This window comes from Homo sapiens, chromosome 17 (assembly GCF_000001405.40).
Source record: "Homo sapiens chromosome 17, GRCh38.p14 Primary Assembly".
NCBI classification, from domain to species: Eukaryota; Metazoa; Chordata; class Mammalia; order Primates; family Hominidae; genus Homo; species Homo sapiens.
The window spans coordinates 35,916,636-35,931,236 of NC_000017.11; the positions used below are offsets into that span (position 1 = coordinate 35,916,636).

The following is a 14,601-nucleotide window of genomic DNA, read 5'->3' on the forward strand; positions in this document are numbered from 1 at the left end:
CAGGCTGGAGTGCAATGGTGCAATCTCAGCTCATTGCAACCTCCACCTCCCAGGTTCAAGCGATTCTCCTTCCTCAGCCTCCTGAGTAGCTGGGATTACAGGTGCTCACCACTACACCCAGCAAACTTTTGTATTTTTAGTAGAGACAGGGTTTCACCATGTTGGTCAGGATAGTCTCGAACTCCTGATCTCAGGTTATCCACCCTCTTTGGCCTCCCAAAGTGCTAGGACTACAGGTGTAAGCCACTGCACCTGGCCTCACTCCAACTTTTTAATGCAACATTTACCTGATAACGTATTCATAACTGAGCTACAATCTCTTCAGGGCAGGTAGCAGCTGTGTTGGGGCCTCCTGCTCTGTTGAAGAATGGACCCCCTTAAGGGACTGAGAAGGAAGAGCTGGGGCCTCCTACGGGGTTGAAGAAGTTTCTACGTATTCAGGGACCTGTGGAAGCTGTGCTGGGGCTTCTTGCTGGAGTGAAGATGACTGGATCTCTTGGAGGGTCTGTGGATTTTGAGTTTCGGGCTCTAGATAGAATTGGCAAAAGTCCAACTTGCTCATGGGGCCCTGGAGGCTCATCTTTCACCTGGACTTCTGGAGGAAGGCTGCCCAGATACAGTATATCCATACCTGAATCTAAATACTAAATGCTTGTAAAGTTTGTTTCTGACACTGAGGTTTTGATACAAATCGGTGTGGAGTTCCAACAACAACCTTAGCAAGCCTCCGATGCTTAGGTAGATCTTTCTTCTTCAGGTTTTTGGGTGAAACACTAATCTTCATTGCTTTTGAATTCTGACTATCTAGAGGTGGAACAAGTATTTCATATGCCTAATGATCTGCAGCCTGATCTAGACTTACAGTTTGAACCTTACTTTTGAGGCAAAGAGGCCGAGCTACCGTCTGGTTCTGATCCCAGTCTAGCATTGGAACCAACTCTGGGAGCCTTTCTTGTGAGTCAGCTTATCATTCAGATCCTGGTGTGCAACAGCGAACTTCTCTGGCCCCAGGGGCAGCTCTCCAGCTGAATCTGTGTCCAGAAATGGAACCAAAGTCTCAGTCGGTTCCTGAGGCGAGGCTGACATCTGGGTGGCAGTAGAGGACCTCAGGTTATCAAAGCTCCCGGGTCTGTATGGGGGTGGGGGTGGATAAACGCATAGGGAGGTTCCGGGGGGAGATCGGAGGAGCGCCAAGCCCAGGGCTCAGTTGGCCTCAGGGGGTCGGAGGTCAGCTGGAGTGGGCCCTGGACCCACTCCAGAGGCTGAGCCTCCTGGACTAGTAGTCACAGTAGTTGTCACGTGAGGAGGGGCCATAGGGACCAGAGACGCAGCCGGTACATGACAGAAGTTGGCGTCCCGCACTGAGCAGAAGCCATTATGGCAGCCACCAGATGCCCGCGCCCTTAGCAACCGCGGCCCCGCCTCGTCCGTTATTTACCATATCTTTATCTAGGCAACCTTTATTAAGTTCCGTTCGAGATCCGCTCCTCGTCACCAGGGCGATCTTATCCCACAATCCTACCCAAGCCTCCCTTCCCACTCCACCAGAACACCCCTTCCCTCCCCTTCGCCAGGAAAGATTTGGGCGGCCGACCCAGGTGGTTCCAGGACTCCAGCAGCCTATAGTGGTGGGGCGGCGTGGGGTAGGGGCACGACAGAGCTTCCCAAGGAAGTTACATGACCTCGCCTTGGGATATTCAGAAATGCTAGTCAAGTTCTGGCAGCCTGAACTCTTCCTCCTCCAAGCTGAAATCCGAGAGATACCCTTCCTCCTCTTGGCCATACTGCTTCCAGGGAGAGCAAGGGACCTGCAAAATGTGCGCTAGTTAGGGTGGCAGGCAGAACGCACATTACGGTCATTCATTCCAAAATGTTGCCGTTTTTGCTAAACTTTCCATATCCTTTGTTGCATGTTTGATAATTCACCACTCTATTAGGTAGGGGCTGCCAGGGAATAAGTGAAGACTCCAAATTTTCTGTAGGAGGGGTTTTGGGAGGTGGGCAATTCAGTCTGGGAGAGAAGTTTGAACTGTCATCCTGCCTTGACTTAACACAGCCATTACCCTAGAAATTACAGCGCCACTCTTCAGAGGTCTACCCTGTGTGCACACATGGAGAAGAGGCTTAGGTTGTTAAAGTCAGCTGTTAAATAATTTCCTGAAATGCGACTATAACTGGAACCCAGCTGACTTCCTCCACAGCCATTGTTACCTATTTTATTACTCATTGTCTGGCACAATCACCAGCATGTGAACTCTAAGAACGTGCTTCATCTTATGCCAGTGCCTAGCATAGGTATATGGTGCAGATTAATGGTTTTACAATGGAAGGGATTCCAAGACTTGCCTCATTTAGGGATGGATCTATTGTTATAATCAGATTTCTGAAATCAGTGCTGACTTTCTCTCACATTTCACAGGAAGCTAGACTTCTTAAAGCTTGAAGTTTCCTTGATGGGTTTTATTTAAATTGAATTAAAATAACTATTTTACAGGGAAAAACTTCAAAACAAAACGCTTTGCAACTTTGGGGTGAAAGTTAAATAAAACACTCTAGCCCCAAATTAAGTTCCTACTGAAAAAAAACACTTTTGCTACTTTTTTTAAAGAATTCCATATGTAGTAAATAATGACTGTTTTCTTTCAGAGATTAATTTAGAAACTTAATCCCTATTTAAGAGCTTTCATATACAGTCATGCGTTGCTTGCCATGTGAGGAGAAGCTTGAGAAATATGTCATTAGGTGATTTCACCCTTGTGCTAACATCATAGCATATACTTCCACAAACCTAGGTGGTATAGCCTACAGCACACCTAGGCTATATGGTATGGCCTATGGCTCCTAAGCTATAAACCTGTACTGTATGTTACTATACTGAATACTGAAGGCAATTGTAACATAACGGAAGGTATTTATGTATGTAAAATGGAAAATGTACAGTAAAAATACTGTTTAAAAGATAAAAAATGGTATAGCTGTATAGGGATAGCTCCATTATACTCTTATGGAACCACCATCATATATGTGGTCTATTGTTGACCGAAACATCATTTTGTAGCACATGATTGTAACTGATTTACAGAAAGATCTCAGCAAAATATTCTACCCAAGATATACGTGAGATATTGAGATCCAGGTAATAAACTGTATTTGAAAGGCATTATAGTTTTCGAAAGCTGTAGCACGATCATTCTTAAGGCCAGTTACTTTCTCCCCATATCTCTGGGATTCTGTTTGAAGAAAGTTCTAAAAAGGCCTGTGTTCAAGCAGCCTGGAATCCCTAACTCCTGGGGGAAGACTAATCCCTCTCCTGTGTCCACAACTGTAGTAATACTCTGATAGTCCTCAGTTCTCCTCTCCAAACTTCAAATAAGCGGTCAGAGCCAAAGGTCAAGACTTCAGGAAAAGCCCCAGAAATACTCTGCACTCAAAAGTAGTATCAGTTTCACATTTTCCTAAGAATGAAACAAATTATCCTCCAAATTATGCTGCTTTTTTTTGAATTATGGTTACACTGGCTATGTTACCCCTGAGTTTTTATCTTCACATACTTGAATTAAACCGTGTAGTTCTTCTTCGCATCTGACACCTACGATGTCTTCACTGGGTCTGTACTCCACAGCTATTTTACCACTTTCTGAAATAAAGTTAGCGAGGATCAATTCAGAATCTTTTTCATTCTAAAACTTCCTGCATATAATGGTAGCACCCCATGATGAAACATTGTTTTGGTTTCTAAAAGCAGAAAATAAGAGCATTTTCCTGGAAGTTTCCTTATCTCCTCATCTCACACTTCAGTTTTTTCTTTCTTTCTTTCTTTCTTTTTTTTTTTTTTTTTAGAAGACAGGGTCTCTCACTCTGTCACCCAGACTGGAGTACAATGGCACTGTCACAGCTCACTGCAGCCTGGAATTCCTGGGATCAAGTGATCCCCCTGGCTCACCCTCCAGAGTAGCAAGGACTACAGGTACACACCACTGTGCCTGCCTAATTTTTTTTTTTAGAGACGTGGTCTTGCTTTGTTGCCCAGGCTGGTCTTGAACCCCTGGCTTTAAGTGGTCTTCCTGCCTTGGCCTCCCAAAATGCTGAGATTACAGGTGTGAGTCACCATGTCTGGCCTCACACCTCAGTTTTTAACATATGTATGAAATATCAACCATATTCGGTACAAAGGACTTTATGATCTTACAGATAGGAACTAAGGAATAACATAAGAAATAAAAAATGTGGAAACCAAAATGCTCAATCATAATATGACTAAATGGTAAGGCATCAGATGGGGGTCAAAGCAAGTTCAAATTTGGAATAGAGACCACTGGGCTAGTAGACACTTCACATTAGAAGCAAGGGCCTTCTTTTGTCTACTCAGGTGTCTACTCCTTTTGAACCAAAATTCATTCCACCAGATACAATGAACAAAGCTTCTGAGAGAGAGAACATTTGAACATTTTATTGGCAGACACAGGCTCACATACCCTTATAGACAATAGAACTACCTTCAAGGCAAACTAGAGCCATCAGGCTTTTGGTCTAAGAAGTTTTCAGTGTGTGCAAGATACCTTTGTATATTAGGGAGAGGTAAACAACACACACACTTCGTTTGGTTCTTAAATGTTGTTACTCAGACTTGACAGTTGATGACCAAGGAAGTAAGACTTTCACTAGAAGGGCTGTTGCCCAGGTTGGAAAGCTGAGAGCAGTCAGGGCCACCTCCTACAAGCAAATAAAGGTCTGTGGTAACTTAATTAGGATCTCTCAGTCTCTAAGCCTTTAGGGCTGTGAAGCAGAAGAGCAACTCTGTTCAGGGACTCTTTGCTAATCATTAGGCTTCCTTTGGGCACAGCCTATAAGATTCGTGCCACTGTAGAACTCAATAGGGAATACAAGCAATAGGGAATATATTCAATAGCATGACCAATTCCAAGGCTCACGGCAAAGCAGCTGATTTTTGTATAAGAATCATACTTGCCCAATGTGTCAGTGCCAGAAATGAAAGCTGAAACTGAATTCTTGATTCAGGAAACATAATCTAATAAACTCTTCAGCAGAGAGCTTATTTATTCAGAGATAAATCAACAATGACAATAATAGTTAATATGTCTGCTTATCTTGTAAGTGTAGCTCCGAGTTTTTACATTTGTCATCTCATTTACTCTTACAATGTCCTCCATAAGGCTGACTGAATTACTAACCCCAGTTTATAGATGAAGAGACTGCAGCTTAGAGATATTAAGTATTTTCAAATCTCTCTGGCTATAAGACCTAAAATTGCATTAAAAAATCTTTTTTTTTTTTTTTTTTTTGAGATGGAGTCTCACTCTGTCACCCAGGCTGGAGAGCAGTGGCACGATCTTGGCTCACTGTAAGCTCCACCTCCCAGGTTCACGCCATTCTCCTGCCTCAGCCTCCCAAGTAGCTGGGACTACAGGAGCCCGCCACTACGCCCAGCTAATTTTTTTGTATTTTTAGTAGAGACGGGGTTTCATCGTGTTAGCCAGGATGGTCTCCATCTCCTGACCTCGTGATCCGCCCATCTCGGCCTCCCAAAGTGCTGGGATTACAGGCGTGAGCCACCGCGCCCGGCCTAATTGCATTAAAAATCTAAGAGACAGAGTTAGGACTCAAATCCATGCGTCCAAAACTTATAATCACTATTCTGTATGATAGGTAAGCAATTAAAGAAGACCTGGCTTAAACATTTTCTGTGGGAACTGAGGCAAGTCTTTTCACATCTGTAAACTGGGGACAATATTTGCTGTCATTTTTTTTCACAAATGTCACACAGAACAAATTTGAGCCTGTTGGTGTGAAATAATTTAGCAAATGAAAGCATACTATAGAGTGCTTTAGATATCAATATTTTTATTCAATTAACTTTTCAAAATGAGTTTATTTGCTTACTGAAACTGAAGTACTTCAAGGATGATCAAGACAGTCTTACCTAGAACAACAATCAACAGTTTCTGGAATGCATCTGACAAAGCCTTCTGAATAGCAAGCTTCTGGGCTGTCTTCCTTTTCATAAGGAATGATAATGGTCCTAAATCCAACCAAAACAAATGGATTTAAGGTGCCTATTTGAATGATAATTGCTATATGTTTAAAAAATAAAAAAGCATCCACGATTCTTAGCTCAAAACCTTCATGACTAAGGGCAGATGGCACAAGCGTATGGTTGAATGGCTCTGTTATAGGTACATCCTGGCAGGGCCCATTTTTACTACCTCCATCTAGTAGGGAAGTTCCTGAGGTACTAGAAGGGAGATAAGAGCCAAGAACCTGGCACATGTCTCACATCACCCAGAGATTTCAAATTGATCAGTTAAGGCTACACTCCTACAGACCCTACCCTCCTATGCATCAAGGGCTGGAATCACTCATCGAAAAAGGTTTGGTTGGCTGGACCTGGTGGCCCATGCCTGTAATCCCAGCACCTGGGGAGGCTGAGGCAGGTGGAGGCCAGGGGCTCAAGAACAGCCTGGTCAATGTGGTGAAACTTGAGGCCAGGAGTTCAAAAACAGCCTGGCGGACATGGTGAAACCCTGTCTCTACTAAAAGTGCAAAAATTAGCCGGGTGTGGTGGCACACATGTGTAATCCCAGCTACCTGGGAGTCTGAGGCACAAGAATAGCTTGAACTGGGAGGCGGAGGTTGCAGTGAGCCGAGATCATGCCACTGCACTCCAGCCTGGGCGACAGAGTGAGATTCTGTCTCAAAAAAAAAAAAAAAAAAAAAAGAGGCTAGGCACAGTGGCTCATGCCTGTAATCCCAGCACTTTGGGAGGCCAAGGTGGGCAGATCACTTGAGGTCAGGAGTTTGAGAGTAGCCTGGGCAACATGGTGAAACCCTGTCTCTAATAAAAATACAACCACAAGAAAATAGCCAGGTGTGGTGGTAGGCACCTGTAACCCCAGCTACTTGGGAGGCTGAGGCAGGAGAATCACTTGAACCTGGGAGATGGAGGTTGCTGTGAGCCGAGATCACGCCAGTGCACTTCAGCCTGGGCGACTGAGTGAGGCTCCATCTCAAAAAAGAAAAAACTTTGGTACAGATAATCTGGCTCCTCCCTGGGCATCACCCCCGGGAGCCTACTCCACTCCATTAGCCTACAGCCCTGCCTCTGACTTCAAACCCTAAGCATGATGGCCATGAATACTAAAAAAATACTCAACATCAGTATCAACTGAGTACCCTTTCTAGGTATCTATATTAGACACTTTTTCTGCTGAAACCCTTTTATGAGTAAAAAAAGGAACTGAATGTTTATACAAAAGTTTATGTAAATCTTTAGATGATGACCTGGCATGGTGGCTCATGCCTATAACCCCAGCAACTTGGGATCCTGAGGCAAGAGGATCACTTGAGGCCAGGAGTTGGAGACCAGGTGGGACAACACAGAAAGACCCCATCTCTAAAAATAATAATAATAATAATAATTAGGCAGGTGTGGTGGTGCACGCCTGTAGTCCTCGCTACTCAAGAGGCTGAGGCAGGAGGATCCCTTGAGCCCAGAAGTTGGAGGTTACAGTGAGCTATGATCATGCTACTGCATTCTAGCCTGGGCAACAGAGCAAGATCCTATCTCTAAAAAATAATAAATAGATAAAAAAAAATCTTTAGATGGTTTTGCTGGGATAACCGAGAGCTACAAGAGACACATATTTGAAGGACTATTTTAGTTCGAAGCAAGTTCTTAACCAAAAACTGTAAAAACATTACTTCCTTCTTCCTCCTAAGCTTCTCGGCAGGAAGTCAGCTGTACGATTTTAAATTTAAAGGTTCAATCAGGTATTGCCTACAGTAAAACCCTATGTTGTAAGACAGAAAAACTCTGCCCAGGACTTCAGTAGCTCAGAGAGGGAGGGGCTTGATATGTATCTGAAAAGATGAGTTTTGGAAAGTAAGAAAAAAAGAAAGATCCTTTCCACTCCAAATCCCTACCCTCCTCCACTCCCAGTGAAAACAGACCTTCCTCCACCTTATCCATAGGCTCCTCCACCAAGCCAATGCCAGGACTCCTGCAATCACAGGATGGCAACACCACTTCTAAAGCACAGAAGAACTTCAGGCTTTGCTTCGGAAGTGGCACCATGCTATCTTCATTTTCCCTTTCTTCAAGGTCAGAAAGCTCCTGAAGCTGTAAGGATATTTAATGTAAGGTCCTTCCTGGGGTCTTAATGTAGGCTTCAAAATGTTTTGTTATTAAAAGTAAAAACTTGGCTGGGCGTGGTGGTTCACGCCTGTAATCCCAGTACTTTGGGAGGCCGAGGTGGGCGGATCACGAGGTCAAGAGATTGAGACCATCCTGGCCAACATGGTGAAACTCCGTCTCTACTAAAAATACAAAAATTAGCTGGGCGTGGTGGTGGGCGCCTGTAGTCCCAGCTACTTGGGAGGCTGAGGCAGGAGAATTGCTTGTACCCAGGAGGCAGATTTTGCAGTGAGCTGAGATAGCGCCACTGCACTCCAGCCTGATGACACAGCGAGCCTCTGTCTCAAAAACAAAACAAAACAAAACAAAAACCCAATAAAAAAAAGAAAACCCAAAAAACAACTACACTCCAGTCATTCAAGCTAACAGTTGAGGTGTCCTATGGCTTCAAAATCAAGTTAGATTTGCAAATGAATTGCTAGATAGAGACAACCATTTTTTATTATATGCCACAAAAACAGTGGAGAAAATTACGGATACCACCATCCAATTGACTGAGATTATTAATTCTAGGTAGCAGGCCAATTCAGACATGTCAATTTATCCTCAATGGTAGAGGCCTCTCACATCTCCTCCCTACAATCCAGTTCAATACTTCTGTCTAAAATCTAGGATTTCAATGTTGAAAGGAGAGTGTGGTAAGTGAAAAAAAATCTACAAGGTTTACCTTGATGATCCTTTTGGAACACCCATTGAAACCAAAGTAGTAATTCGCCAGTTCTTGGCATTTGGAACTGTTCAGGGCAAGGGCTTGATGTTGAACTGCCTTATGTCTGGTGCCAAGACGAACCTAAAATCATAGGAGATAGACCCATAAATATCACAACCGCTAGAGATTTTATTTTGGATAGATCTGAGATTTGTCAATACCAAGTGTGCAATGAAAAATTGTTACTGTCTTCCCATTCAGTAGTTCCTGCTTGAGAATATGACCTGAATATAGATAAGATGAACCCACCACCCATCCCCCTCCCCAAGTTACTAACCCGTTAAAAGATGAAATAACACCAGGTGCAGTGGCTCACCCTTGTAATCCCAGCACTTTGGGAGGCTGAGGCAGGTGGATCACAAAGTCAGGATATCGAGACCATCCTGGCTAACATAGTGAAACCCCGTCTCTACGAAAAATACTAAAAATTAGCCAGGCATGGTGGCACGTGCCTGCAGTCCCAGCTACTCGGGAGGCTGAGGCAGGGGAATCGCTTGAACCTGGGAGGCAGAGGTTGCAGTGAGCCGAGATGGTGCCATGCACTCCACCCTAGGTGACAGAGTGAGACTGTCTCAAAAAAAAAAAAAAAGGAAATACAAATACTTCTATAAATTTTACATGCAACTGAAAGGAGAGGTATATCTGCATTTACGTGCTTCTTTGAGAACGCAAATATCTACTGAGTGTTAATTCTTAAAACATTTTATCCATTTTTGTGGATTTCTTACATCACAAGTTTTCCTATATATTTCATTTTTTAAATGTAGTATATTATATTCATGAAATTCAAATGATACAAATAAAGTCAAATTTATTTGTATTAGAAATTAATAAGAATTAACAGTAAAGTTCTTTTTTTTTTTCTGAGACGGAGTCTCGCTCTGTCACCCAGGCTGGAGTGCAGTGGCGCGATCTTGGCTCACTGCAAGCTCCGCCTGCCAGGTTCACGCCATTCTCCTGCCTCAGCCTCCCGAGTAGTTGGGACTACAGGCACCTGCCACCACGCCCGGCTAATTTTTTGTATTTTTTAGTAGAGATGGGGTTTCACCGTGTTAGCCAGGATGGTCTCGATCTCCTGACCTTGTGATCTGCCCGCCTCGGCCTCCCAAAGTGCTGGGATACAGGTGTGAGCCACTGCGCCTGGCCGTAAAGTTAATTCTTTATTGATTTGTTTATGCACCTTCCTCTATCACTGGTTTATAAGCTCCTTAAGTCCCAGATGAAACCATAGCTTATTCTTTTTTCATTTCCAGAACTAAGCATAGTTCTTGGCATATAATAGAGCACAGATGATCTATCGATTGAATGAATAAAACAATGAGCAAGTAAAAAATGAAATTACTTTCTCCAACTGAAAAGAAGGAGAAATGCCTGTTGGGAAAGAAATAAAGACCAGTTTTTAAACGTTGAGTGCCACTGGCGAGACCGGCCTGTATCGTGAGTCACAGTGGAGCCTTTCCAGACAACCAGGAAGCTTCAGAAAAACTCTGAGCCTCTGGGTGGCACAGACAGCTGTCAGCTTGGATAACTTTGCAGCAACCATTTTCCTTCATTTCACCAAAAAAAAAAAAAAAAAAAAAAAAAGAACCAAAAAACCCTCTTGGCCGGGCACGGTGGCTCACACCTGTAATCCCGGCACTTTGGGAGGCCGAGGCGGCAGATCACTTGAGGTCAGGAGTTCAAGACCAGCCTGGCCAACATGGAGAAATCTTGTTTCTACCAAAAATACAAAAATTAGCTGGGCGTGGTGGTGCACGCCTGTAATCCCAGCTGCTCTGGAGGCTGAGGCAGGAGAATCAATTAAACCCGGGAGGCAGAGGCTGCAGTGAGCTGAGATCATGCCATTGCACTCCAGCCTGGGTGACAGAGCAAGACTCCATCTCAAAAAAACAAAACGAAAAAACCAAACAAAAAAACAAAAACCCAAAAAGCAAAAACAAAACCCTCTCAGGTGCCTTAGGCCTTTCCTTGATTTTATTTTAAAACATTATTCTCTTTTCTGTATTTAGAAAGGCAAAAAAGACAGGAACTAAGTGTACGTGCTAAAGTAGAAAAGAACACTTAAACTAGATTACAGTGGGGGGTGAGTAGTAACTGAAAGCTTTGAGTTTAGTAATAAATCTAGTATGAATGCCCTCTCATCTCACCTATCTATTGAGTTGTAGAACATTTCCTTCATTACTGTCTCAGTGATAGGCTTTATGCTGTGAAATTCTCAAAACCTAAAGCTTATGAAATGGTCTCAATGTCCAAAGAGCACTAAAAACTCATTATTTGCAAAATGATACCAAGTAAATGTTTCATAATCTTAGTTGTACCTTTATAATATTTGAGTGGCTATGTGAAATGGTCACAGGTTAGAAACAGACCATAGTTCAAAAGTTAAATAATATCTCACAGGTAATCATTTCAGTCACAGAAAGTGGAACCAGGATTGAAGAGGGTGTTGAACAGGCTAAGAGGGCATTGAACAGGCTACTGAAGTGGGAGTAGTATACCTGGAGTCATTACTAAGCAGAGTTCTCAGATTTGATCAAGGTTAATTCAATGAGGAATGGAATATAGAGAAGAATAGGCAGCAAGATTAGTAGGAAGCAGTCAGATCAAGTAGCCAATCAGGAATTGAAATGGTCCTTGAAAAGGGAAAGATGACTGAATTGAGGCATACAATGAGATATCATTCTGTGGCTCTGGGAAAGTAAAATTGGTTGGCATGTTAATATGGAATAGGGTTTCTACAATACCGCTTAAAGAATGTTCCCATCCTCTCAGAACTGAAGGGAGTTTCAAACAGGCAGTTTGTGAGCCATGGTGAGTATGATGATGATGATGTGATGATGATGATACAGTCTCCTTTATGTAACAGCTGGCAGAAGACCTGGTCACACCCACACATTTTAAATTCACATAAAACTAAATATATAGGCTGGGCGCGGTGGCTCACGCTTGTAATCCCAGCACTTTGGGAGGCTGAGGCGGGTAGATCACCTGAGTTCAGGAGTTCGAGACCAGCCTGACCAACATGGAGAAACACCATCTCTACCAAAAATACAAAATCAGCCAGGCGTGGTGGTGCATGCCTGTAATCCCTGCTACTTGGGAGGCTGAGGCAGGGGAATCGCTTGAACCCGGGAGGCGGAGGTTGTGGTGAGCTGAGATCACACCATTGCACTCCAGCCTGGGCAACAAGAGCGAAACTCTGTCTTTAAAAAAAAAAAAAGTAAATATATAATATATGGCTGGGCACAGTGGCTCACACCTGTAGTCCCAGCACTTTGGGAGGCTGAGGTGGGTGGATCACTTGAGGTCAGGAATTCGAGACCAGACTGGCCAACATGGTGAAACCCCATCTCTACTAAAATACAAAAATTAGCCAGGTGTGGTGGCAGGCGCCTGTAGTCCCAGCTACTCAGGAGGTTGAGGCAGGAGAATCACTTGAACCCGGAAGGCAGAGGTTGCAGTGAGCCAAGATCATGCCACTGCTCTCCAGCCTGGGTGACAAAATGAGACTCCATCTCAAAAAATAAAAATAAAAAGTAAATATAGCTGGGCATGGTGGCCTGTACCTAGCTACTTAAGAGGCTGAGGCAGGAGGACTGCTTGAGGCCAGGATTTAGAGACCAGCCTGGGCAACACAGGGATACTCTGTCTCTAAAAAAATTAAAAAGTAAATATAAGCAGAAGTCTTCTGGCAAAGATTTCATTCATTCAGTCATTTTTTAGAGATAGGGTTTCACTCTGTGGCCCAGGCAGGAGTGCAGTGATGCAATTATTGCTCACTGCATCCTCAAACTCCTGGGCTCAAGCGATCCTCCCACCTCAGTCTCCCAAGTAGCTGGGACTACAGGTGCATGCCACATCTGGCTGATATTTAATTTTTTATTTTTCTTTCTTTCTTTTTTTGAGATGGAGTCTCACTCTGTCACCCAGGCTAGAGTGCAGTGGCACAATCTCGGGTCACTGCAGCCTCCACCTCCTGGGTTCAAGTAATTCCCATGCTTCAGCCTCCCGAGTAGCTGGGACTACAGGCGCATGCCACCATGCCCGGCTAGTTTTTGTATTTATAGTACAGATGGAGTTTTGCTATGTTGCCCAGGCTGGTCTCAAACTGCTGGCCTCAAGTGATCAGCCCGCCTCGATCTCCCAAAGTGCTGGGATTACAGGCATGAGCCACGGTGCCCAGCCTTATCTTTACAATTTTTTTTATAGAGATGGGGTCTCATTTTGTTGCCCAAGCTGAGATTTCTTAAAAAGGGACAGCATAAAATGACATGAGGTTTAGCATCAGTAGGTTTTAGTTCAATCTCGAGTTTCCATAATTCTTGTCAGGAACCTTAAACAAGTCGCTCAACCACCTTGAGTTTGAGTTTCTTCATGTAAAAAACCCAGAGAACTGGAAGATTAGTGTGGCAATGCATCTGAAAATATTCTGTAAACCAGCGTGCTGGACAAATGCTAACCTATTATTGAATTCAGCACTTCATTTCAGCGGAGCTAGGAATTCCATATTTGGACCCACCTTGACTGGAGATTTCTGAAAAAGCTGCTTCCGGTCGCATGCCTTTTGGGCTCTGTGGGCAGCCCTTGCAGAATAAAACTTAATGACGGCATAGAAACCAGGATGGGCCACTGCAGCATTTGGGAAGACCCGGACTGAATACAGAAGGCCAAACTGAGAAAATGCTGTGAACAGAGAATGCTGTGGGGGTGGGACAAGTAAATGCATGAAATCTCACGCCCAGAAAACAAAACCGCACATGCCCTCATATTCCCCAAACCTCTCTTCGCGAAGGATGCGATTCAAAACACTTCCCACTTAATCAACAGGTTTTCCTCTTAAAATCCTAAACTTTAAGAAGCACTGGAAGGTAAAACGTTCTGAAGGTGGAGAGATACCTCTCCGGGACTCTAAAAATCTGTTGGGGGTCGTCAGTTGTCAGTTGGGATCCCCTTTATAATTAAGAGTCCTTCAGCGGAGGCTCAGGCAGGTGAGGGTCTGAGGCAGGACTCCGGAACTCCCAGTCAGCGGGTGGGCAGCTTTCTCCATCCCTCCCTCCATCCTGGCCCCGGCTCACATGCAAAGCCTCGGCCGTGGGTCCGGAGCTCAGCTCCCACACTAGCAAGGTTTTGTCACTCTCGATGGGAACCGCAAAAGGTACCAACTCCGCCATCCTCCCTTCACCGCACCTGCGCGGCTAACCCTCGCCCCAGCATTGCGCCTGCGCAAGGCACGCCCGCGCTTTTTTAAAAAGAGGCGCATGCGAGGGGCGGGGACGGGGCTCGGATCGCTCCCTTGCCCCTCCTACCTAGGGCCAGCCTCTGAGTCTGTTCCCCTCCTCCAGTCACAGCCACAAGATCCCTGAGTTTAGAGCTTCCGTTCAATGCATGTTTAGGGTAAAGTCCCAAAATAGGCTGACAGGATGGAAGGGTAGGGACGTGTTTATAGAAGCCAGCTTCATCTTCACTCCTGAAGGAGATTAGGGTACTAAGTATTAGCACTTGTGGGAAATAACCACGAAAGATGCAATCTTTTGACTTAAGAGGTTTTTTTAAGAGTTTAAAATTGCAAATAAAAGTATAACTCACTAAACCATTAACAGTCTCGCATGAAATCCTTAAAAAGAATTCCCTGATTGTCCTACGTCATTCTGGTGAATCGTGTATGTGTACTTGTGGGGGT

General features: G+C 44.2%; 1 protein-coding gene and 1 pseudogene across 15 annotated transcripts; both read right to left on the bottom strand.

The window, feature by feature from the left end:
- Nucleotides 1-188: 188 nt before the first annotated feature.
- On the bottom strand, nucleotides 189-1,376 carry LOC124903988 (leucine-rich repeat-containing protein 37B-like; annotated as a pseudogene).
- Nucleotides 1,377-1,444: 68 nt separating this feature from the next.
- On the bottom strand, nucleotides 1,445-14,138 carry RDM1 (RAD52 motif containing 1). Of its 15 annotated transcripts, NM_145654.4 has the most exons (7): nucleotides 13,997-14,138; nucleotides 13,441-13,620; nucleotides 8,880-9,002; nucleotides 7,969-8,137; nucleotides 5,942-6,040; nucleotides 3,552-3,637; nucleotides 1,445-1,808 (listed from the first exon to the last, which is right to left on the bottom strand). In NM_145654.4, exons 1-7 carry the CDS (start codon nucleotides 14,090-14,092, stop codon nucleotides 1,707-1,709), a joined length of 855 nt encoding a protein of 284 aa, NP_663629.1. In that variant the 5' UTR covers nucleotides 14,093-14,138; the 3' UTR covers nucleotides 1,445-1,706. The 15 variants fall into 15 exon arrangements, 10 of the variants coding, with proteins under 10 accessions (NP_663629.1, NP_001156593.1, NP_001156602.1 ...); NR_027997.2 differs by lacking the exon at nucleotides 7,969-8,137; NM_001163121.2 differs by lacking the exon at nucleotides 5,942-6,040.
- Nucleotides 14,139-14,601: the final 463 nt, after the last annotated feature.

Coding starts and splice junctions, on each gene's coding strand:
- RDM1 (NM_145654.4), bottom strand. CDS start 14,092: ATGGCGGAGTTGGTACCTTTTGCGGTTCCCATCGAGAGTGACAAAACC. Junction 3,638..5,941: donor ACTGTTGATTGTTGTTCTAG/GTAAGACTGTCT, acceptor ACTTTATTTCAG/AAAGTGGTAAAATAGCTGTG. Junction 1,809..3,551: donor AACTACACGGTTTAATTCAA/GTATGTGAAGAT, acceptor CACATTTTGCAG/GTCCCTTGCTCTCCCTGGAA.